The sequence below is a fragment of the Homo sapiens genome, chromosome 11, assembly GCF_000001405.40.
Source record: "Homo sapiens chromosome 11, GRCh38.p14 Primary Assembly".
NCBI lineage: Eukaryota > Metazoa > Chordata > Mammalia > Primates > Hominidae > Homo > Homo sapiens.
The window spans coordinates 7,535,865-7,559,541 of NC_000011.10; the positions used below are offsets into that span (position 1 = coordinate 7,535,865).

Genomic DNA, 23,677 nt, shown 5'->3' on the forward strand with positions numbered 1-23,677 from the left:
GTGGCTCACACGGGAGGGGAGTAGGGTGGGGAAGCATGACAGGTGAATGCAGGCTGCATAGTTCAATGAGGGACCCGGAGAGCGCTTCTCCCAAATGCCAGAGGAGGAGAGTGTCACCACTGATGAGATGCCAAAGAAGGCACTAGAGCAAACGCTGACTGATGGCGAGTCTAAGCGCTTTACTCTGTTAACATTTAACCTTCACAACCACCCTTTCAGGTAGGCAGTTTTATTATTATCCTCATCTTAAAGATGAGAAACCCGAGGCACAGAGGTTAAGTGTCTTGCCCTGGGACATATAGTTTCTGAATCAGGGCTGTCACCGAGGCAGTCCAACCCCAGCCTGGGCTTTTAACCCCACCCTAGACCGCCTCTTAAGGAAATGGGAACACAAGCGGCTGGCTGGATGAGAGCATGGCACGGGTGCACACGGATGAGTGACGTCCCACCACTGGGGGTGTCAGAGAGCACGGGAGGTAGGCAGTGGGGCTCTGAGGCAAAGGGGAAACATGGAATAATAACAGTAGGGTGCAGGGTCAAAGGACATGTTCTAGAATAGCAGAGGAAGGAGCAGAAGAGGGAGAGAGTGCAGATTCAGTTTGGAGGGGGAATAATTGAGAGGTTGGATCTCAGTGATGATCGAAGATTAGGGGTCACAGGGAGGAGGGGCAACTCTTAGACAGCATGTGAAGAGAGGGTAAGAGATGAGAGAAGGGGAATCAAGTGGTTTTGTTTCTCATTAAAGAAAGATGCATGGTAGTTTGCAGAGGGAGTCTGACACGAAGAAACATGAGATTAGAGATCCCAGGCGCATGAATGTCTGATGGAGCCGTATGTGTTGTGTAGCATCCCGGGAGCAGAAGGAAGAAGAGACATGTGAACCTGGTTCCCCAGGCAGAGGGAGAGTGAGCGTAAGTTGTGACCAGAGAGGTAGAATGAGCTGAGGAGCACGTTCAAGCTGGAGAGAGGTGAGGACTCTACACTCTGATGAACAGAGCCAGGGAGAGAGCCTCCACGTTGTCCAGAATAGGGCTATGGTGAAAGAGGAAATGGAGTCAAGGAAGTGTGGGAAGGGAGGGAATAGGTGGGGACCTGAAGTGGGCAGGTAGAAGGGACAGGCTGGCAGACCATGGTTATACTTGGGGAGGGGAATCCAGAGAGATCCTTGAGCTCCTTGAGAAGGATCCTTCCTTCAGGTCCCCGCCTCCTCCTCCTACGTTATTGCTGGGAAGAGTGGGTGGCTTCTAGGTGGCTCCCTCAGTGGTTGTCATTGCCTAATGGCTACAGGCCATGTTCTAGGGGTGACAGGTGAGAGACCCTTCTCAAGCTGGGGCAGCTTCATTCGCTGTCACTATTCCCCTGCTCTCTGGCCACTGAGCTACATCTTTGTAAAACAGGGCTGATAATTGTACTATATCCCTCACAGGACCCCCTTGAAGATTAAATGAGAAAACAAAAATGAGGACACTTTTTTTCCCCCCCACAGAGGCAGCAGCTTCTCAAAGGAGACAGGAAACCTGTGAACTCCCAGAGCAGGTGGTTTTTACACACAGGTGGATATTGCACAGGCTCGAAATAATTCACCATCATCTTGATCTATTGTGAATGGCTGTGTGGCCAGGGCAGGCAGCCAAATCTTAGAACGTGTGAGTTATCTGTTGCCTAGTCCTGGCTCTTCACATCTTAGCCTTGAAAGATAGACTCTCATTTACGTTTACTTCTTAGACCCACTCTTTCTGAGCGGTTCAGAAGGAAGGGAAAGAGCCTCCTCTCCGAAAGTTCTCTAAGTGGCTACGGTGGGCCCTATCCCCATGAGGGCACTGATATACTTGTCTTACAGTATTGAAGGGCACACTGATGGGGTTTGGTGATGCTCTGCTCCCTGGATGCTGTCTGGCTCCCCATCTCAATTCTTCCCAAAGGCACAGATCCCTGCCTCGCTTCCCTGCCCTCCCCGCTCCCCACTCCCCAATCCCTCTCCTTGTTGGAGTACCTGCACTGTTTGACCTTTGGCATCTCCCCAAACCATTCTCTGACAGACCTGGCATTAAGGCATGGCCTTGGTTGTGGCTGGTTTACCCTAATCAGTGCTTGAGTTGGGAAAAGGATCAGCTTGGAGAGAGAGGGGAACAAAGGCAGAATATCGAGAGCAGAAATAGGTGAGAAGAGTCAGAGGAGGGTGAAGCGAGCATTCAACAACATCAAGCAAATACGGTGAAGGAAACTTGACATCAGCTTCTTAGTGTTCCTGAAGCCCAGAAGGTCAGATGTGCTTTTGGGTGTGAGCCATCAGAACCTCAGACTCACACCCGTTTCCTGGCCAGACCCTGCGCTCCTCCTTGTGGGCTGGGCTCGTGGTGTCTCATTCTCATGTCTTTGGGGTGGTGTTTCTCTTAAAAAGCTTGCCATTTCCAGTAGGAGGAGGATGTCGCTGCTGAGACTGTGGGACAGCTAGGCTCAGAGGGAGTCTGACTTCGGGGCACCCGGAGGTGAGGTCTCAGTGCCTGTTGCTGCTCTTTGCCTTCTTTAGAGGACAGTGTGCAGCTTTCTGACTGAATGCCCTGCTGTTGTGATATGTTGCTGGAAATGCTGTTTGGGGTCATGGAGCCTTGCTTAAAGGGCTGTGGTTTGGTGAGAAGGGCTCGAGCTTTTTGGGAATGCTTAAGTGGAAGCATCTGGGCTTGGCTCTGCCAAAGGAGGCTGGTGGTGGAGCAGGGACATGTGACAGGACTTGGGCTGTGTCTTCAGTGGAAGGACCAGAAAGCAAAAGGAATCCTTCCAGTGGGTTCAGCAGAACTAGGCTCCAGCACAAATGTTCTTAAGGATATCCTGGACCTCGCCTGACAGGGAGTGGCTGGGAATACCCGGTGCATAAAACTCACTAACCTGGTATAGCGGGAAAAAGACGCTAAGCAAGAAATATTGCATTCATCCCCTGCCACCACCCAGCACTGCCAGCCTGTGTCTAGATTCAGGGCCCTTTCTGCAGTTCTGATAGATCTCAGCCCCCACTGGCCTGAGCTTAACTGACTAATCAGAACAGCCTGATCTAGGATGTTTAGGTTGAAACAAGGAACCTTGTATGCGCCAAATATTTTTGTTGCTGTAAAGCTTTGAACAAATGTTTGCTCTTAGGAGTTACTGATACTATGATTAGATGGGGACCAGTTAAGCATGCTTGTTCACCTTCAGTGGCATTCTTCTATTTTCTCCTCTTCAGCTTCTTTTAGGCTACTTAAGCTTCTATTCATTGACAAAACAAAACAAAGCTCTGCCTCTTCACTTTTATTAGACTCCGATATTCACTGAAGGCATTCAGCAACTCTGATAGCAACGTTCTCAGCAGCCTGGCCCCTCTGTCCTGCTATGGCTCCTCTTTGTCCTGACAGGATATCTCGCTGTGTTGGGCTCCTCTGTCCTGAGGGAAATTTAGCACAATGGCCTTGTCCCTCATTGTGATATAAAGCCAGTGTCTGTGGGCTCTGCCATTGCTCTGAGGAGCTGTCTTCGCAGGCCAGGTGTGCGGCTTCTCCTCTCCACTGTCAGATCTGATCCTGTGGGGGTCGTGACCTCTGGATGTTATAGGACCTGTGGAGGACAGGTACAGCTTGTGGCCCTGGGCAGAAGGTGGGGACAACTTGAACTGCTACGCTGAGAGCCTTGCCAGTGTAGACCGGTGACCTCTTTATTTCCTTTCATTTTCTCCCTTTTAGAATGGGAGCTGAGCTCCGGGGTCAGAGATATGGCCCTGCCTGTGAGGGCCTTACCACTTAGACAAAAGTGCCCTGGAGAAGTCTGTCCTGGGAGTGGCGAGGGGGACCCAGTCAGAAGTAGTCACTTCCATCTGGGGGATGGATGGGAGAGGATCCTTGGAGATAATGATGATGGAATTTGGCCTCAAAACAGGAGTGGGAGTTGAGCAGGTAGAACGAAGGACTTCAGCTAAAACACTGAAGAAGCCCCAAAAGCAGAAGCAAGCTGGGGACAATAGCTTGGCTGTTGCTCAGGGCAGGAGCCAGATATGGCCAGGAGAATTAAAACTGCTGGGGTTGTGAACTCCCACCCAGTTTTGAATCTCTACAGTCCCACAATGTGTCTCTTTTCACCTGAATTTTATAAATAGGTAAAATGAGGTTCATTAATGTTAAAGAGCTTGTCGGGGCACAGCTCATGAAGGAAAGAACTTGGATCTACATGCAGGTCTGACTACAGAACCCACTCTCCTAACTGCTCTGTGGGTCCTTAACTTCGTCTCCAGGTCCCCAAGCACCCCTTTGTTGCCTGAGTGATAGAAAGCTGGTGAAGCGTTGTGAATGCTGGGAAGCCTTGGTAAGATTTGTGAAATAGACCCACCCTCCTGGCAGCAGTGTGGAGGATGAGGGGTGTGGGGGGGCGGTGAGGCTGGAGGCAGAGAAACTGGTTAGGAAGCCAGTGCAGCCACTCTGATGGGAGATGACGGCAGGGCAGGTGAAGATGAGGGGACAGATCTGAAAGAGAGGGAGGAGATTTTACCGGATCTGGTGCCCAGTTGGATGTGGGTAACAAAAGGGAAGGTCCAAGGCTGACTCCCAGGTTTTTATCTTGGTGACCATGGGGGCATCACCAAGGTGGGATGGGAAGCATTTGGGTCCCACCCATTGTGAGAATATAGAGAGGGAGGTGGGTGCTCAGGATGGGAAGAGTTTGGGGCTGTTGTAGGGGAACATGCTGCAACCTCACTCCAGTCCCCACTATCTCCCAGGCTTTAGCTTCCCATGGACAATGAATTGGTTATTTTATCAATAAATCTGTAAACACTTATCCAGTGCTTACAGAATGGGGGACCCCACAGGGACCCAGACACGTGGCACAGTTTTCAGGGAGATGGCTGTGCACAGCTGCTGTCATTCCTTTCCTTCAGGATGAAAAAAGATGATCAGGGAGATCCCATTTAGGTAGTCAGAATTAAGTATGATTACCTGGAAGAGCTGGCTTGATGGGAATTTAGCAGGGACAGCTGTAGGCATGGGCATAAAAGCTGGAAAGCAGTGCAGACAGCCAATTAACTAACAATTAGGATCAGATGCCTTAGTGATAAGGCATCTGGTGAGGATGGGGCAGAGGTCTGCCAAAAGGTATGTATGGTAAAAGTTAAAGCCGTGACCAAGTAGGTTGAGTCCATATGATGATAGACCATGATTTCTACTGTGTGGCTGGTGGCCAGCCCCTGAGGCTGTCTAAGCAAAAGGGTGCCTGGTGCAGGGCTGTGTTTGCATTCCATCAGTTCCTCAACTTTGGTCAGAATCAGAATCACCCGAATGGCTAGATCAGCCATAAAGGTCAGGCTCTCTACTTACAGGAGGCTGGGCCTCTTGCTTGATTAGTTCTCAGGGTGGTTCTGATTAACAGCAAAGTTTGAGGACCACGAGATAGGTGAATCTTCAGTGCAGAGTGAATGGGGAGGGCTGTTCGGAGGAGGGTAACCGGTTAGGAGGCTATTGTAGTCATCTAGGGTGAGGTAATACAGGGACAGGTGAGGCTGTGTGAGCAGATGAGATCACCAGTAGCGTGAGTTTGGAGAGAAGTGCTCTGGTCTTATTCAGCAGCATTTGGTGCACCTGACTGCGCCCTCTATCCAGAAACCCTTTGGTTCGCTTATGGGTGCCACTCTCACTTCTGGCTGCTCCTCCTGTCTCCTTTGTCCATTCCTCTTCTCCCCGGTGGCTGCATGGTGGAGTGTTTCAGGGAGTCCTGGGGCTTCCTCTGTTTTTATACCACTTCTTAAGTCACTTCATGCAATTGCTTAAATACATCTTTATGAAGATGCCTCCCAAATTGACATCTCCATCCCAGACTTCTCTGTAAACATCAGACTCCTATTTCCAAATGGCTACTCAGCGTAACTTCCTAGGTGTCTATAGGCCTCTTAAGCTGAACATTTCTAAAACCAATCTCCTGATTTCACCCCCAGACACCCCACATTGTTGCTCCTGCAGGCCTCCACATTCTCTAGGTACTCAGGGCAAAAACCGTGTAGGCACACTTGACTCTGCTCTCTCATGCCCATGTCCAGTTTATCAGTAAATCTTATGGGCTTTGTCCCCAAGGTATATCAGGAATTAGAACATCTAATTCATTACGGTCTGAGTCACTTCATCTCTTGCCGGGTTTCCTGTGTTCACTGCTGCGTCCCCTGCAGTCTATTTTCCAAGAAGCAGCCAGAGTAATCCTTTTAAAAGGTTAAGTCAGATCATGTCAACTCTATCCTCAGAACCCTCCAAATGGGTTTCTGTCTCAGGAAAGTGGAAGAACAGGAGGAAAAATGGTGTGCATCCTCAGGCAAATTGCCTAATCTGTTTTCTCATCTGTAACAGGGGGAGAATAATTCCTAACTGGTATGGGGATTAAGTGAGATAATGTTGGATAAACCCTTAGCAAATAGCTAACAGTTATCTGCCCAATATATGGTAACTAAAGAGGAGACAGATGCCGCATTAATTTAATCTTGGCACTGTGCCTGCCATGCCACATGTATTATTTCTTTTAATCTTTTTTATTTCTTTTAATCTTAATCACCACTATATATCCACACAATTTAAAGACTCAAATAATTGTATGTAATTTGTTAAAACAGCCACCTCTTCACCTCCCCACCCCATTGTTCTTCCTCAGATGCAGCTGCTTAATTTTTTTAGTCATGTATTTTTATCCGTATCTCTAGAAAAATGCTTGTTCTGCTGCTTTATTATTTTCCCCCCATTTGTCATTATCTGTTCTTATTGAATTAAACAAAGTCTTCACCAATTATGTAAGTCTGTTAAGATGTTCAGATGCACCAGGTGTTCTGTCAATTTCATATGACTGAGGAAGTCTCTCCCAGAGCTTTTGAACTGGCTGACCTTGCAGGCTTGCTACAGAACTGTACCCTAGCATCTCCCTTATGGCCATGACCTTGTGTCCTTTTGAGTTTATGTCTCTCTTGTTAAATGAGCAGTTAAATTAAATGTTTAGGTTCAGCCTGCAATGTTTACCTGAGTTCTGTCTTGTTTACATTTGCCCAAAACAATGAAATTGATTTTATACTGATTTTACAGATGAGACAATTGAGGCTAAAAGAGGTTAAAAGACTCACAGCCATTATGCAGCAGAGCCCATGTTTTCACTCAAGTCTGTCTGTATATAAAAGCTGTACTCTCTCTCCTTTGCCCTTTAGGAAGAAAGTAGTTGTTGGTTAATATGGGATGTGATTGAGAATTTAGCGCTGCCATCAAATTCCTTCATATCTGTCTTTGTCCTTTTTATTTTTGGATGCTCCAAATGGCTTCTTGCTCCACTCTACCAAAGAGGTTTCTTAGATCCTTTAAAGAGGCTTTCTCTTAAGCTTAGGGATAGCAAAAGGTATTTCTTAAAATAACCATTTAAGAGCAGCTATGGCTTATGGGAGGCCTGTAAATTATTGGGAAAAGACTCCAATTTCTTGTAATATAGTGACACTTCTTTATCATCTGTTTGCCACTTGGGGAAGGGAGAGGTAGGAAAGGAGTTAGGTTCTGTGGTTGTGGTGGGGTTCTTGGCTGAGGCCTCCTTCCCCAGGCCTTGATTTCCAGGCAGAGACACTGGCCCCTGTCTAGTGGCAGCTGCTAAGGAGTCAGGTCTTGGCTCTGGCTCAACTGTGTCCAAGGCTCAGAATATCCTGGAGGCACAGGGAATAGCAGTGACTTCCAGATCTGTTCCTAGTTCATTTCAGCATCCAGGGCTATGTGAGCCTGCTCCAAACATCAATTACAACCTAACCATTTTTATTGAGAGAAAAGAAGCTTAGAAATGGAATTCAGCGTGGGTGGAGTAAACAAAGGTTTACTTGCTTCCGACTTACCTTCATCAGTGGTTGCTGCCTACTTCAAATTTTCTTTTGCCAAACATGAAAGGAGTTAACACAGTATATAAATCACTGTTTGCCTCAGAACATACCAGATGATGGGGTTCAATTGTGACTCACTTTCTAAATTTTAGAACACATACAGATCTTGCTCCCTAATCAACTTCCAGGTGCCAAACTGGCCTTTGTGTGGTGCAGTTCATGTGGCTGTGGCATGTCATCATACCTTGCCATTCTAAAACATGGCTTTTCCTCACTGGCTGCATTTACAGCTAAGGGGTGTGGGATCGTTTTCTCCCTCACTGGTAGCGAAGAGAAGGGTTAAGTCCTGTAATGAGCAGGACCCCCAGCCTCAGATGCTGTCCCAGATAGGAAGATGACAGCACACACATAGGCCTGTGAGTGAAGGAAGGATGAATTGTGGATGGACTGCATTTTTTCTTAAACAACATACCCTGCCTTATCTTTATGGCCAGGGATGAGACAGTGTCTCAGTATCAGAAGCCAGCCTGCTCATTAGGGTCAAAATGCCAGCTATGTTAAGTGTCCAGAGAGAATGAAAAGTGCTTTGGTCCCATGTAACAACTGTCTCTGTATTGTGTGTGCTAAGAGCAATATCCTTCTCTGTGTCCACTTCTTTCTTTCCTGGGCGGTTGGGTGCCCCTCGTACAGTCCCCATGGCACATTGTTGATTCCTCTGTTGTCCATGCTGTGTAAGGCCCTTGGGTAGCTGCTGTAGCTCTCCTCTCATTGCTGGGGAGCATGATTTAAATTCTACATCCCGGTTCACGCCTGTATTCCCAGCACTTTGGGAGGCCAAGGTGGGTGGATCACGAGGTCAGGAGATCGAGACCATCCTGGCTAACACGGTGAAACCCCATCTCTACTAAAAATACAGAAAATTAGCCAGGCGTGGTGGCGGGCACCTGTAGTCCTAGCTACTCGGGAGGCTGAGTGAGGAGAATGGCATGAACCCGGGAGGCGGAGGTTGCAGTGAGCTGAGATTGCACCACTGCACTCCAGCCTGGGCAACAGGGTGAGACTCCATCTAAAAAAAAAAAAAAAAAAAAAAAAAATCTACTTCCCACCATCTGCTTAGCTGTCACCCTGATTTTTCACATGTCGCTTGGGATTTTGGCTTGGGTTCTGGCTCTCTCTGTCTTCTCCCTGGTGTGTTGCTTCTGGAGCTTGGTGCACTTAAGCCCCATATCCCTGAGGAGCCCTGGCTCCCTAGGAGATGCTGTGTCCCTGTGGGAGGAACCGATGTGGAAGACACTGAACGCACTGCATGTCATCAGACAGCATGTTTACCTCTGAGACCTGTGATACTATGATATACAGTAGCCCCCTCTTACCCATGGTTTTGCTTTCCTGGGATTCAGTTACCCAAGGTACCGTCCAGTAAGGTATTTTGAAAGAGACAGGGCCAGGCATGGTGGCTCACGCCTGTAATCCCAGCACTTTGGGAGGCCGAGGTGGGTAGATCACTTGAGGCCAGGAGTTCAAGACCAGCCTGGCCAACATGGTGAAATCCTGTCTTCTACCCAAAATACAAAAATTAGCTGGGCGTGGTGGTACACACCCATAATCCCAGCTGCTTAGGAGGATGAGGCACAAGAATCGCTTGAGCCTGGAAGGTGCAGGTTGCAGTGAGCCGAGATCATGCCACTGTACTCTAGCCTAGGTGACAGAGTGAGACCCTGTCTCAAACAAAAACAAAAACAAAACAAAACAAAAAATCACATTCACATAATGTTTTTACAGTGTATTATAATTGTTCTATGTTATTACTAATTATTGTTAATCTCTTACTGTGCCGTGCCTAATTTATAAATTAAACTTCATCAGAGGTCTGTAGATACAGGAAACATCGTATTCTATATATAGGGCTTGGTACCATCCACTGTTTCAGGCATTCACTGGGGCTCTTGGAGCGTGTCCTCCAAGGATAAGGGGGGACTACTATAATAAAAAAAGTATATATTTGGTCTCCTTCCAGTTTGCTAGCACAGAAAAGGGGCAACTTTTGTTATTCATAATAAGCGCCTTTCAACCTTACTCAGCTTTATGCTAATGAGGCCACTCCTGCAGGATGGGCTGGTTACCAGAGAAACCAACCTGGTGATTAGAGGGTTAGAACTTTCAGCCCCACTCCCAATCCTCCCGACTCCTACCTTGGGGAGGAGAGTGGGGCTGAAGCTTGAGTTCAATCACCAAGGACTGAGCGACCCATGATTGGATTAATCATATCTATGGAATGGAACTTCTATAAGAAACCCTAAATGAAGGAAGGGGTTTGGAGAACTTCCAGGTTGGTGAACGCGTGGAAGTGCTGCTGGGTAGCAGCCCTGGAGAGGCTATGGAAGCTCCATGCATCCCTCCCCACTCCTCAGTCCCTTGCCCTATGTATCTCTTCCATTTGGCTGCTTCTGTGTTGTCAGAAACTACACATCAGCTCCTAGGATTCTTATGAAAGCACATTGTATGATAATGGATTTAAGTGGTTTTGTGGTCTTGTATGCATATGTGGAACCCTCTGTAATGTTTCCTTGTTTTGTATTTGAATTTTCAGGAAGAGGAAAATAGGCTGGCAAAAAGAGTCATGGCTTCTGATGCTAGTCATGCACTGTGAATAGGATACACCTTGAATCATGTTTCACTTCAGGCCAGCTCCCACAGGTCCACCCAGCTTGCTGTTTGCCAAGTACAAACTCATCGCTGGGCAGAGGGCCCATGGGTCTTGTTTTATGGCCCTTCTGTTGCGGGGGCACATAGCCTGGGCCCTCTGGGTTTGACACCCTGTCATGTTTACATCTGAGGCCACCTGATTTGTTAGGCATTGGCATCCAGGCCCCTGATGCTGTGGGTGTGATTCCCAGGCTCCTCTCATGCATTGCCCTTGTACTGCATATGTGAATTCCATGGAAGGCTTTGACTCATCTTGAGCAGCTGGGTGCTCCTGCGTAATCTCATCAACCATTTTGGCCTTTGCCAACTACATCCTGCCCTTACATGCTTCCCTGGCTTTCCTGTGCACCACACTCTCTGCCTGGAACAGCATTCTCCTCCTCATCTTCTGAGAAAGCTTCTATCATCCTTCAAGACCCAGGGAACTTGCACACCTGCCTCTATCAACATACCTTGCACTGTGTCATAATTATTTGTTCATACTTCCGTCTCTTCCACTAGATTGTGTGGTTCATGGGGGCAGATACTAGGTCTGATTTATCAGTATCCTTCTAGGGCCTAGCACAATGCTGGCTGCATGGATCTGTCCATTTATTCATAAGTATCTATCTGTTACACAGTGGGAACCTGGGAGTAAACAAGGCAGACAGGGTCCCTCTGCCTCTGTGGGAAGGTGGCCAGTTAGCAAGGAAACAAATACATAGAACAAGATACTGTGGATTTGTTGTGCTTTGAAGGGGCTGCTTTACGTGGTGCCGGGGGGCGGTGTGGGGAAGCCCTCTCTGATACTTTGGATCTGAGACCTGAAGGATGAGAATAAATCAGCTGTGCAGACAACTAGGAAGTGAGCTCAGGGTAGGGGGATGGCAGGCGTATTGCAGAGGAGGGAAGGTCTTGGAGGGCTCGGGAGCAGACAGGAGACCAGTGCTGCTGAAGCATGAGCCATGTGGGGAGAGATGTGAGCATGGCCTGGCCTGATCCTGAAACCTGCTTCATAGGCCACAGTAAGGAGTTTGGAATTTTCCCCTTAGAGAAAGAGCAGTGGGAAGGATTTGGAGGGATTATTTCAAACTTTTAATATCCCTTATGCTGAACAGGTGAGAGTCTGCAGATTGTTTCCTTCCTCCTGCTTCCCCCCTTTTCCCTGCTACCTCTTCTTTTATCCTGGCCAAAGCTGGCCTCCATTCAGGCCCCAGGATTTCCACACCGTATTCGCTCTGTAGCGGCCTGGCTGCTCCTCTCACCTCGGAGCAGCTCTGTTCCTTGTTGCAGCCTTTTCTGGCTCCTGCCAGGGCCCTGAGGTGCCACTGAAGTTCCCCGACACCCTGTGAGCTCCCATTCTCATTCCCTCTAAGCTAACTGTGCAGTGGTTCTTGACCCCCGAGGCTGAATGCCTGCTTCTGAACCTTCCTTGGCCTTAGCACCTGTAAATCCCTGCCCTCTCCCCCTCCACAAGCATGGTTGCTTATCTTCCTTCCCCATGCCTGCCGCCTCCAAACGAACCAGCCTCCTGAGTTTATCTGGTTCTCCCTCCCTGCACCTACCTATTTTTGTTTAAAGTTTCCTCTGAGCTGGCAAAAATATGTCCTGATGTTATATCCTCACTTAAAAAAAAAGCTAACATATTGAACACTTTGTGCAAAGGAATGTGCTTAGTGCTCTCTACATAATTTTAATCATGACATCTATGAGTTAGATGCTGTTATCCCCATTTTACAGATGAGGAAACTGAGGCTCAGAGATCACACAGTACATAGCAGAGCTGGGTCTGAACTCAAGCTATCTGACTTTGGAGCCTGTGGATTTAACTATTATTTCCTAGTGCAGTCCGGTGTGGTTCCTTGGTCTTGAGATCCTTATCCACACCATCTCTGAAGCCATTCCTGGGTGGTGCCCATTTTCCTGTCTTCACTCTAAATGTCCCACTTCACAGGAAAAACTGGCGGAGAGCCTCAGAACCACCTGTTTCCTCTGCTGCACCATGCTTGAGTGTGGAAGCCGTGCCCCTGTTCTCCACAGCGTGTATGGCCATTCGGCACATGTGTAGATTTGCTGAATGAGCAAACAGCAACTCCTCCAGTTTACAGACGTGAGCTAATTCTCTTGGGATTACAAGTGCTATTGTAAATCCCTCCTTGCTACCCAGGGAGAGGGTGGGGAACAAGAAAAATGAGAGGAGGCTGCAGGAAGAGGGTTTAAACTAAAGACCTTCCTTGAGGTAGAGTTGTCCAGAGATGGAAGCAATTGCCTGAGGGACAGGGGAGGGGCATTGGGCAGTTCCCCTTTGCTATAGCTAGGGGATACAGCATTAAGGTAGTGGCCGGACTGTGTATCCTTGGAGGTGTTCATCTGCCCTGAAAAGATGGGATTCTGAACCTCAAATCGTGCTGGGTAGAGTGGATCTAAGATGGTCAGTTATGGTGCTCCTGGGTGCTGTCTCTACATCCTTGTGGCCTGTAGACTTCCTAGGCAGTGCACCCTTTCCCAATTGGAGGAGTGGAAGTGGCATTTGAGCCCTCTCAGCCTGGCTCACACCCACCCAAGGAAAGCACTGCAGGCCTAGGGCAAATGCAGATGTAAGACAGTTAAATGCCTGCAGGGATTGTCCCAGGCCCTGCCCTTGTGCTGCATTGCCTTGTACGCCCTGACAGTGTCCCTGTTAGGTGTGCTGCTCTCCTACGCCACTTAGTGGCGCCTTTCACAGTGGGGTCGGAGCTTCTGGAACCTGGGACTCCAATTGTTACACCTGGTGAGGTGTTAACAATTGCCGTCTTGCTGCCACAGGTGACTCTGGAGAGCCCTGGTGGTTTTTCATTACAGAAGTGAATGGGATTGTGTGCTAAAGATTCATGGAAAAAGCACTCATGCCAAGAGGGAAAAGGCCATGGAGATGCAGAAACTACATGTCGGCTACTATGATTCTTATGAAAACACGTTGTGTGATGATGGAATGAAAGATTTTTGCGATCTTGTGTGCGTAACATGGAACTCTCTGTAATTTTTCCTTTGTTCTGTATTTGAATTTTCAGTAAGAAGAGGAGGAGGCCAGGCAGGCAAAAGGAGTCATGGCTTCTGATGCTAGTCATGCGCTGGAAGCTGCCCTGGAGCAAATGGACGGGATCATTGCAGGTACGCCCAGGGAACCCCAGCAACCAAGGTCTCATCCTCCACATTCCAGGAACTGCTTCTCTCCTTTTACTTTTTTTTTTTTTTTTGGCATAGAGAAAATCCCCTTTTGTTATATTTATTTTTCAGTGGTGTTATTGTGTATGTAATCTCTTTTTTTTCTTTGATACGAACTTATACAACTCTCTGATGTCTGGTGTGATCGTTCTGGTCTCTGCTGAGACAGTGTGGATGTACCTACCATCTACCGTCTCAGTTTGGATTCTGGCTGTGAGGCAGTTTGGGTTCAGTGAGACTGATTCTAATGTAAAATTTTCAGAGCTTTTCATGGCTTATTATAGCTGATCTGAAACTTGAAATCTAGCAGACTTTGCCACCTAATGCAGGTGTCAGCGTCCTCAGATGGTCTCCAGTGTGTTTCAGAGATGAAAGGCAGTTTTGTATTGATTCAATTAATGATTCAAATTTTCTTTATGCCATATTGTTTTTTATCCCTCTCAACTGTTTGGTTTTAATATTTGCATTAGCCAGTAGGGGACTTTTTCTTAGAAAAGATCTAGCAAAGCTGTGGTTAATTTGAAAGGACTATCAATTAGCTGTTCCAGCTGATTCCTTTCTTCATGGGAGCAACCAGAAGCCTATATTGATTAGACCAAACGTTTTGTTGGAAATCTTTCCAGAAGGTCCTAAGTCTTCTGACTTTACCTGATACACTTCAGTGGCCTCATTGGTAGATTGGATGTGCTTCTTTGGAACTTTGCTCTTCATTGTTTGAGCTGTGGCTGGAAGAGAGCGTGGAGGAAGGTATTGGGCCAAGTGTGGCTAGACCCCAGGAAGTACACAGAGTACCTGACACTGCCCTTTCTCAGGCATTTGCTTTTCCTTCCCATTGGAGGGTTTCATCTGACTTACAGAGGGCTCTTGGTGTTTGAGCCTGAAGTGGGAGAGTATGCCTGTGTCTTGCAGCTTCTTCAGGTTATTGTTGGTAATGTGATGTATTCTAGCTATCATCTGTCTGCTTCTCAATTTCTCAGTTGATAGAGGGCCCTTGAGAAGCCATGACTAATGTCCTGCTTTTCAGAGAATCCATAGACTGGGATGTCGTGATGTTTAATACTGAGTGTCAACTTGATTGAATTGAAGGATGCAGCAAAGTATTGATCCCGGGTGTGTCTGTGAGAGTGTTGCCAAAGGAGATTAACATTTGAGTCAGTGGACTGGGGAAGGCAGACTCACCCTTAATCTGGGTAGGCACCATCTAATAAGCTGCCAACTAATATAAAACAGGCAGAAAAACATGAAAAGTCTAGACTAGCTTAGCCTCCCAGCCTACATCCTTCTCCCGTGCTGGATGCTTCCTGCCCCCAAACATCAGACTTCAAGTTCTTCAGCTTTAGGACTCAGACTGGCTTCCCTGCTCCTCAGTTTGCAGACGGCCTATTGTGGGACCTTGTGGTCGTGTGAGTTAATAGTACTTAATAAACTCCCCTTTATATCTATATCTATAGATATAGATATCTATAGATATCTATCTCCTATTAGTTCTGTCCCTCTGGAATACAGATGTCCTGTTCTAGGTTAGGGTCTCTGATGCCTTATTGAGGAGAAAGAGTCAAGAAAGTGGATTTCCTAGCAATCCTTTTAGAGATACTGACCTGTGAGCTCCTCGGGGTCTCACGTGCATTGGGATAATAGCTACAGGATCATTCCCTGAGAATGCCTGAGGCAGTCATCACTTCAGAGCCTTCAGCCAAAGAGCAAAGGGGAGACTGAGCGAGTCCCTGGCAGACCTCTTTGATGGTTGTCAGGGAGGGATGAAAATACTATCTTTTCTCTACGTATTATCTCTGCTGCTTTGTCAAAGGTCATTTGATTATATTTTTGTGATATATATTCAGGTCTATTTCTGAACTCTGTATTCTGTTTCATGGATTTATTTTTTCTTTCACCAATACCACACTGTGTTGATTACTGTAGCTTTAGTAAGTCTTGAAGTTGGGTACTGTCAGTCCTCCAACTTTGTTCTTCAGTGTTGTGTTGGCTACCTTTTGCCTCTTCGTATAAAATTTAGAGTCAGTTTTTTGATCACAAAGTAACTTTCTGGGATTTTGATTGCAATTGCATTTAACTTAGATCATGTTGGGAAGAACTGACACTTTCACAATATTGAATTTTTGAGAGATGAATCAGACTTCTAAAGAAAAGTAGCCTTGTGTGGGGTCAGTACCTCTTTCTGACTCCTGATTTCTCCATACAGGCATTCCTGAAATGACAGAGCCTCTGGCAAAATTCATTTTGTCTCTGAGAGACATTATGTGGCTGGATCCTTAAGGCCTTGCCTTGACCCAGGATCTGCAGTTGAGAATCTGGGATGTGTGTGGAGAGAGGGGCCCTAAGTGTGGGTTGTGTGAAACCCAGGAGACCTAATCTTCTGATCTTCCAGTACAAACTGCTCTATCCTTCCATTTCCTTAGTCCTCCATCTTGGAAGGTTCTATCTAGAAGGGCTCCTGGGCTTTTCTGTCTGGAACAGGTATGAGAGTTTTGTAGAGAGAAGGCATTCTTTGCAAATTGGTTCTTTGCAGATTGGTAGGGAGGAATACCTGTAGCCAGACTACTTGTTTGAAAACCTAGCTCTACAACAAGTTACTTACATGGTCTGTGCCTCAGTTTCCTCATATTAGAAATGAGAATAGTAATACCCATCTTAGAGAGTTGCCTGTGTTGACATGCGTAAGGTGCTTAGAACAGTGCCTGGCACATAGTAAGCACTATAAAATGTTAGCTCTTGATAGATTAATGAGGGACTAAAAATAATCTTCATCATGTTGAATCTTTTCTGGGGACGGGGTAGTATTCTATTTATTAAAGCTCTTATTTCTCCCATCTGAGTTTTGTGGTTTTCATTGTATAAGGCTTGTGCATCCATTGCTGGATTTGCCCAGGGTCTGCAGATTTAATACGTGGTCTTCTGATTGCTCTCTGCATCTGTTCTTGCTCCCTTATAGACTGTTTCCCACAGAGCTGTAGAGTAAACCTGAAAATGTAAATTAAGTCATATCACTCCTCTCTCCAAAACTCCTCAATGGCTTCCCATCTCAGGATAAAGTTTAAAGCCCTTACCACGGCCAGCAAGGTCTTAGCATGGCTTGGCTTTCGTGGCCCTTTATGCATCCCTTTTACGTTCCCAGGGTGTATCTCACTTTAACCATGAGCTTGCCCCCCCCTCTCCTGGAATGCCCTCCTCCAGATCTAGGCTTATGCTGAAATGTTACCGTACCGGAAGGCCTTCCCTGACTGTGTCTATCATGCATTCCCACATAACTCTGTTCTTGTATCTTGTTTATACTTCTTTATAGCACTTATCACCTGACCTATCACATTCATATTTGCCTCTTTGTTTATTGTCTGCCTCCTGCACCAGCATGTAAGTTTCTTAAGGACAGAGGCTCTGCCACTGTATCTCCAGTGCCATAATTGGTGGTTTTAGGCATTTTAGTTAATAAGCATTTAATACATGCTAGATGTTTTTTTTTCATTTGCTTTTGTGACTAGGATCTCCTTTTCATTGGTTAGGAGGTATACATATAGGTTTCTGTATACATCTTCTATCTGGCTGCATACTGAACTTCATTTATTTTCTCTATTTTCACCCTTGTTTCACTGATTCTTTTGGAATAACAAATTATTATTATTTTTTTTGAAGACTAGTAGTTTGTATGTCCCATGAACCATCCCTGAAGTAGTAACTGGCTCACACAGATATTTGACAGGAGCTATTTGACAGATTATTCAACACTGAGGTTACTAGTGAGTATCTGGAGGGCATGTTTTCTATGCTATTCTTGATAAAAAGAATGATCATTCTTTTGAATGCCTTGTTCAGGTTACTTTTTCTCAAGATTGCTGAGGACACTTTTCCTCATTTTTATGATGGCATTAGGATGGCTGAACCAAATTGGGCCAAAGAGGTTAAGAATTTTTGTGGTTATTAACATGGACTACAGAGTTGGACTGTAGGGGTTTGAATCCCAGCTCAGCCATTTAGTGCTGGCTGTGGGATCTTTGGACAAATTGCTTAATTCTTCTGAGCCTCAATTTACTTATCGATAAAATAGCAGTAATAATAGTACCTGTCTCATATTATTGTGAGGGTTGAATTAATGCAGATAAGGCACCTAGAAAGTGCTTAATTGATGTAAGTTATTTGTTTTATTGATATTAGTATTAAATTATTTTTACCCCCCAAGATCATAGTGCTGAGATTTGATTCCAGGGCCATCTGAGTCTCTTCCAGGCTCCTTTTATTCCTGGGCTGGTTTTTATGTTGATGCATGGGGCTGTCTGTAGGAGAAAAGAATTAACTGAGGGAAGGATACTTTTCTGCTCTTGCTCACAATCCCTAAGCCAGAGTGGTTTTGTTCTTGTCTCTCTTACGTTATTTCTTCTAAGCAAGGGTTCCTTTGCTTAAGGGTGGCACAGCTAAAGAAGTTTGAAAACTGGCACCACACCACAGATCTTGCAGAAATGACATTTTTGTGTGAACATTTAAATCTTCCTCTCTTTATTTATGTTCTCTTATTAATTTTAGATTGCATGATGTCAAGTAGTGCCACCACCACTGCCAAAACACAACTGCTTTTCCATCAAAGTACTCAAGTACCCAAAGAATGTATTTTCTCACAGTTACCACGTATTTCAACGGAAAAAACCTTTATGGGCTTCCTGGACCTCCCAAATAGTAACCACTTACACAGAAACAACACAGATTCCTACTAAAATGGATGTACTGTATTCAGTGATCACTAGTAATCATATACTATGTAACAAGGAATTGCCTCTTACTAATTACAGTAGGCTGGGTTACTGTTTACTTTCCAAAACTCCTTCTAAAAAGAGTGCACTTTGGGCATGTGATATCAATGTTTATGTAATTAAGCTTTTAGTGCAAAAAAAAGTCTGTCTCCTCCTGCATCAACTAAAACAGTGCAAACAGTGCGGGATGATTATCACTCCTGTAAACAATCAGACCAGGAGTACTCTGAGAGGACATCCTAATGCGCAAGTGGTAAATATGCCCCTCCAGAGCCACGGTGCGATGGCCTTTGTCTCAGGTGGTCAATGTTGGGAGGTGTGAGAGAGAGAAATTGGTTCTTGTAAATGCAAAAAGAAATGCCTTGTAAGCAGGACTATTAAATGAAACTCCTTGTAAAGTTGAATTCTTGAAATCTGAATGGCTGAATCCCAGGTGACTAGACTAGACTAGACTAGACTAGACTAGATTGGGTCTATACTAGATTGGGACCTCAGTATTTTATATCAGAAAGTTGGGAAAGGGTGGCTGTTAAAGACTCTAGGATCTTTGTCAATAATGACTTGGTTCTAATATGAAAGACCATTATTATAGTTTCCAGTAGGATGTTAACCTTTGATCTAGTCTTCCTCCTGATTAGTCCCTGTGATTCTGCTTGCAAATTCACTGTAATTGAATTACACTGTTGACAATTGAAATTGAACTCTATATTGCTTAATTACCTCCCTCTGGATGGCCTAGAGCAACTGCCACAGACACTAATTTTGCATGGAGCTTAATTTGTGAACTGACAGGTTCAGTGGCTACTTTGTCAGGCCACTTCTGGCAGGGGACCAGAGAGCCACGTGGTCAGGACACAGAAGGCCACTTACTCCTCTTGGCTCTGCATGAGGTTACTCATGCAGTTATGTACAAGCAGTACTCACTGAGGAGGAATAGTTAAGAGGAGTCTGTTTTATGACAGTTAAAGAAGTTGCCCTGTCAGCTGGGGCCTTTCTGCCAACTCTGATTAGCGTCTGGGTTTGTAAAAAGAAAACAACAAAAGATTGTGCAGGGGCAGAGAAAGTTCTGATCAAGACCGAGATTGTTCACGTTGGCTTGTGAATGAAGTCAGCTGTGGTGCTGAGGACTGTTGAGTCCATACTCTGAACAGTCCTTGACTGATCTTGTCCCCGGCTTCTCTGAGGTGCAGCAGCATATAGCATTCATCAGTATCGGACTCGCTGTTTCCCATTGCAGGTTGTGAGAGCCCTGCTAGGACTTTGTTCAGAAGAGTTGGAGTGGGGGTCTTAGGAGTGTCTAAGGGGCAGAGCTATCAAAGACTGCCCTTTGTATGAAGAGGTCAAAACAGCTACTGGGGCACCCGCTGTTTGACAGCCCTCATTCCATTTTTCCCTCACTGGTAGACCCCATCTCCCAGTCCTTTATGGAACTGTGCCTCGTTTTCCATTCTCTGAAAGAGTTTGGATAAGGCTGGAACTATGTGTTCCTTAAATATTTACTATAGTTGTAGGTATAGGAACTGAGCTGCAAAACTGTGTGGGCCTCGTGTATTCTTGTTTGAAGATTTTTTTCTTTTAATGGTGTGGACAGGTTTTAATTTTTTAATTGAGTCTTGGCAAGTTAAGTTTTTCTAGAAATGTGTCCATTTTACTGAGGCTTTCCATTTTGTTATCATCAAGTTGGCCATTATATTTTATCTAAAGTACTTTGTTAGATTAGAATTATTCTTTAATGTTTGATAGAATTAACATATAAAAGCATTTGGCCTGGTGTGTTCTGTGTGGAAAAAAATTTAAACTACGATTAAATTTCTTTATAAGACGGCCAGGTGCAGTGGCTAACGCTTGTAATCCCAGCACTTTGGGAGGCCGAGGCGGGCGAATCACGAGGTCAGGAGATTGAGACCATCCTGGCTAACACAGTGAAACCCCGTCTCTACTAAAAGTACAAAAAATTAGCCGGGTGTGGTGGCGGGCACTTGTAGTCCCAGCTACTCGGGAGGCTGAGGCAGGAGAATGGCATGAACCCAGGAGGTGGAGCTTGCAATGATCGTGCCACTGCACTCCAGCCTGGGTGACAGAGCCAGACTCTGTCTCAAAAAATAAAATAAATAATACTTGACTCTTAGAATGCTTTAATTCTCATCACTGCCCCATCTTCCACATTATTTTCGTTCAGTATTCTAGTATCTTTGTATTCTCCAAATTATTGTTTTTTCAGTTGATAGCATTTTGTTTAACAGTTTTAACAACCTCTCCAGTCATAGTTGATTCTTTCATCCTGCTTTTTTTGCATGATAGTTTTCTTCCTTAAAATTTGATAGTCTGTCAGTAATAGATTGTATTAGTCGTCATTTGAAAAATGTCCTTAAATGTTCATAATCTTGAATGATAGTTTATCTTGTACAGGCTTGTAGGTTGGTCACTATCCATAGGTATTATTTTGTGGTCACAGGGATTTATTGCTAATGAGAAGTCTGGCAATCTGTATCTGTCTTCTGTCTCTGGTTGTTTTTAAACTTCTTATTTATCTTTGGTGTTCTTCAGTTTCACTGTGTTGTTTCTTGGGTGGATTTGTTTTGATGTATCATTCTTGGGACTCAGTGAGTGTCTTTAAGCTGAGAGGACTCAAGTTTTCCATTCTGAAAAATTCATAGCCATTTTCTTTGTTGTCTCTGCTTCATCCTCTGTATTCTTCTGGAATTCCTGAAGAATTGTGTTGGACCTTGTCCTCCTTTTTTAATTCCATGCTTCCTAACTCCTCTTTTATATTTTTCACTTGTGTCTCTGTTTGCAGCATTCTTCAAATCTATCTTCCTCTCCAATAATTCTCTCATCTGCTATTTAACCTGTTCACTTAATTAATTTGCTTGGCTGCATTCTTTATTTTGGTTTGTATTTTTTTTTTCAGATTTTCCTATTTTTTAAAATCATGCTTTCCTTTTCTTTAAGGTTTTTATTTCTTCCTTTTCTCCTTTAATTATGTAAAACATATGACATATGCCCAAATATTCCCAAATAGACAAAATATTTACTCATATTAGTGTATTGATTTAGTTACGTGTTTAAGCACTAAGTAAAAGGCTTTCAATAATTCAAAATAATATGTTAATTTATGAACTTCTTGTCTCATTGGCACTTTTTTTTTTTTTTTTTTTTGAGACAGAGTCTTGCTCTGTTGCCCAGGCTGGAGTACAGTGGCATAATCTTGGCTCACTGAAACCTCCATCTCCTGGGTTCAAGCAATTCTCAGCCTCCTGAGTAATTGGGATTACAGGTGCCCACCACCATTCCCATCACTGGCACATCTGATGAAATAATTTTATTCAAGCTTTTTATATTTATCTTTGTTTCTATCATTTTGAGCGCTCTTTTTGAATAATCCTAGCATTCTAGAGCAGTTGTAGAGCATTTGGGGATGCAGATTCATATTTGTAGGTCTGGGATGGGATCCGAGACTGTATTTCTAATGAACTCTCAGGTTTTGCTATTGCTACTCCTGTGGACCCCTCTTTTAAGTGGCAAGGTTTTAGAACATGCCATCCTTACTTGGAATTTGTTTTAAATACAACACTTTAAAAATTCACATATGATGCTGTCATCAGCTATTTCATCTCATGCCAAAGAACTCCATTTACGTGGTAAAAGGTTAGACTTTAAAAGTTTATCTTGTCTATATGTCTTAATTGTACAAAATATATATTTTGCATGAATGAAGATAGGCTAAGTTATATTGCAGTGAGAAACTACTCAAATGTCAGTAGTTTGAAACACAAAGGTTTATTTCTTGTACACATTGCAAGTTCCCTGAGATCTGCCAAGAGCTCTGGTCCTTGTCATCTTCACTTGAACACAGACTGATTGAGTCTCCACTATTGCCAGAAGTCAGGGCAGGTGGAAGAGATATGAGGAATTGTGTACTGGCTCTTAGACTTTCTCCCACAGTGATACACATGGTTTCTGTTTATTGGCCAAAGGAAGTTATGTGACCATGAGTGACTTCAAGGGACAGAACTGTGAGCCTACTATGAATGCAAGTAGAGGAGAACAAAATATCTGAACAACCCCAGTCACTACCACAGACATCCCTATGTGCTTTCGAAAGCGATCATTAAAAGGCTTTCAGCTGGCTGCGGTGGCTCACGCCTATATCCCAGCACTTTGGGAGGCTGAGGCAGGCAGATCACGAGGTCAGGAGTTCGAGACCAGCCTGGGCAATATGGCAAAACCCCGTCTCTACTAAAAAAATACAAAAATTAGCCAGGCGTGGTGGCGCGTGCCTGTACTCCCACCTACTCGGGAGGCTGAGGCAGGAGAATTGCTGGAACCTGGGAGGCGGAGGTTGCAGTGAGCTGAGATCACGCCACTGCACTCCAGCCTGGGTAACAGAGCAACTCTGTCTCAAAAAAAAAAAAAGAAAGAAAAAAAGGCTTTCAATGAAATCCTATAACACTTGCATTGTATGTGGTCTTATCCTCAAAAATAATTATTAAATCTTCATTAAATTTTGGTTTTGCTCCTTAAAATAAAAATTCTCAGGTGACCTCTATAACCATCAAAGCTAGACTTCATTGAGGTGATCTGCTAGTGCCATGGTTTCAGCTTAAGCATCATTTTAGTATCACCTGGGAAACTTTTTATTACCCCAGGTCACACCTCAGACCAATTAAATTAGAATCCCTGGAGGAGGGCCCAGGCATCTGGAGTTTGTAAAACCGCTCAGGTGACTTCAATGTGCATTGAAAGTTGAAAATATTTGTGCTACTCTAAATACTGCTTTGTTGCTCAAAATGAAATAAATAGAATTCCCCAAAGAGAAACTTTAGGCTTGACTGTAAGTTGAATTACCCTTTTCTGAGAAATCTGGGGGGCAAATCTTGCCTTATATTTAGGCATATCCAGCATTAGTGGTTTATGGTGTCTTCTAAATTTTCCTGTTAATTCCAGGTTTTAGGGCACACATTTTTTTTATTTGTTTTCTATTTTGATTTGTTTCCCACTGTGGTTGTAATTTTTTTACAGGAGGTAATTGTGGGAAATGTGTGTGGAGTGTGGAAATGAGCCTCCTGGGAGATTTTGCAATTGCTAATGCTGGGCTTTAGGTGTTGCACTATTCTGGACCATTTTGTGTGCATGTGTGTTGATTTCTGGTTTGGGATTTCGGTAGTCAGTGCATAGTAGAAATTTGGCA

General features: G+C 44.8%; 2 protein-coding genes across 16 annotated transcripts in view; one reads left to right on the forward strand and one right to left on the reverse strand.

The window, feature by feature from the left end:
• Positions 1-2,675, reverse strand: part of LOC124902806 (leucine-rich repeat extensin-like protein 5) — a 30,521-nt gene extending 27,846 nt beyond the window's left edge. The window contains exon 1 of the mRNA XM_047428005.1: positions 2,474-2,675. Coding sequence (XP_047283961.1) covers positions 2,474-2,675 — 202 coding nt within the window. The remainder of the gene's footprint in view (positions 1-2,473) is intronic.
• The window catches only part of PPFIBP2 (PPFIB scaffold protein 2), a 153,306-nt gene that overhangs the window by 21,866 nt on the left and 107,763 nt on the right, over positions 1-23,677 (forward strand). For 11 of the 15 annotated variants that reach the window (NR_147792.2, XM_011520415.4, XM_047427751.1 and 8 more), the window contains exon 2: positions 13,576-13,675. Coding sequence is in view for 14 of the 15 variants with exons in the window: in XM_011520415.4 (XP_011518717.1) it covers positions 13,612-13,675 (64 nt within the window). In the remaining variant the exon portion in view is untranslated. Of the gene's footprint in view, positions 1-2,404; positions 2,490-12,479; positions 12,636-13,575; positions 13,676-23,677 lie in introns of those variants that run through there. The other 4 variants (XM_011520413.3, XM_047427750.1, NM_001351862.2 and 1 more) reach the window with 2 other exon arrangements.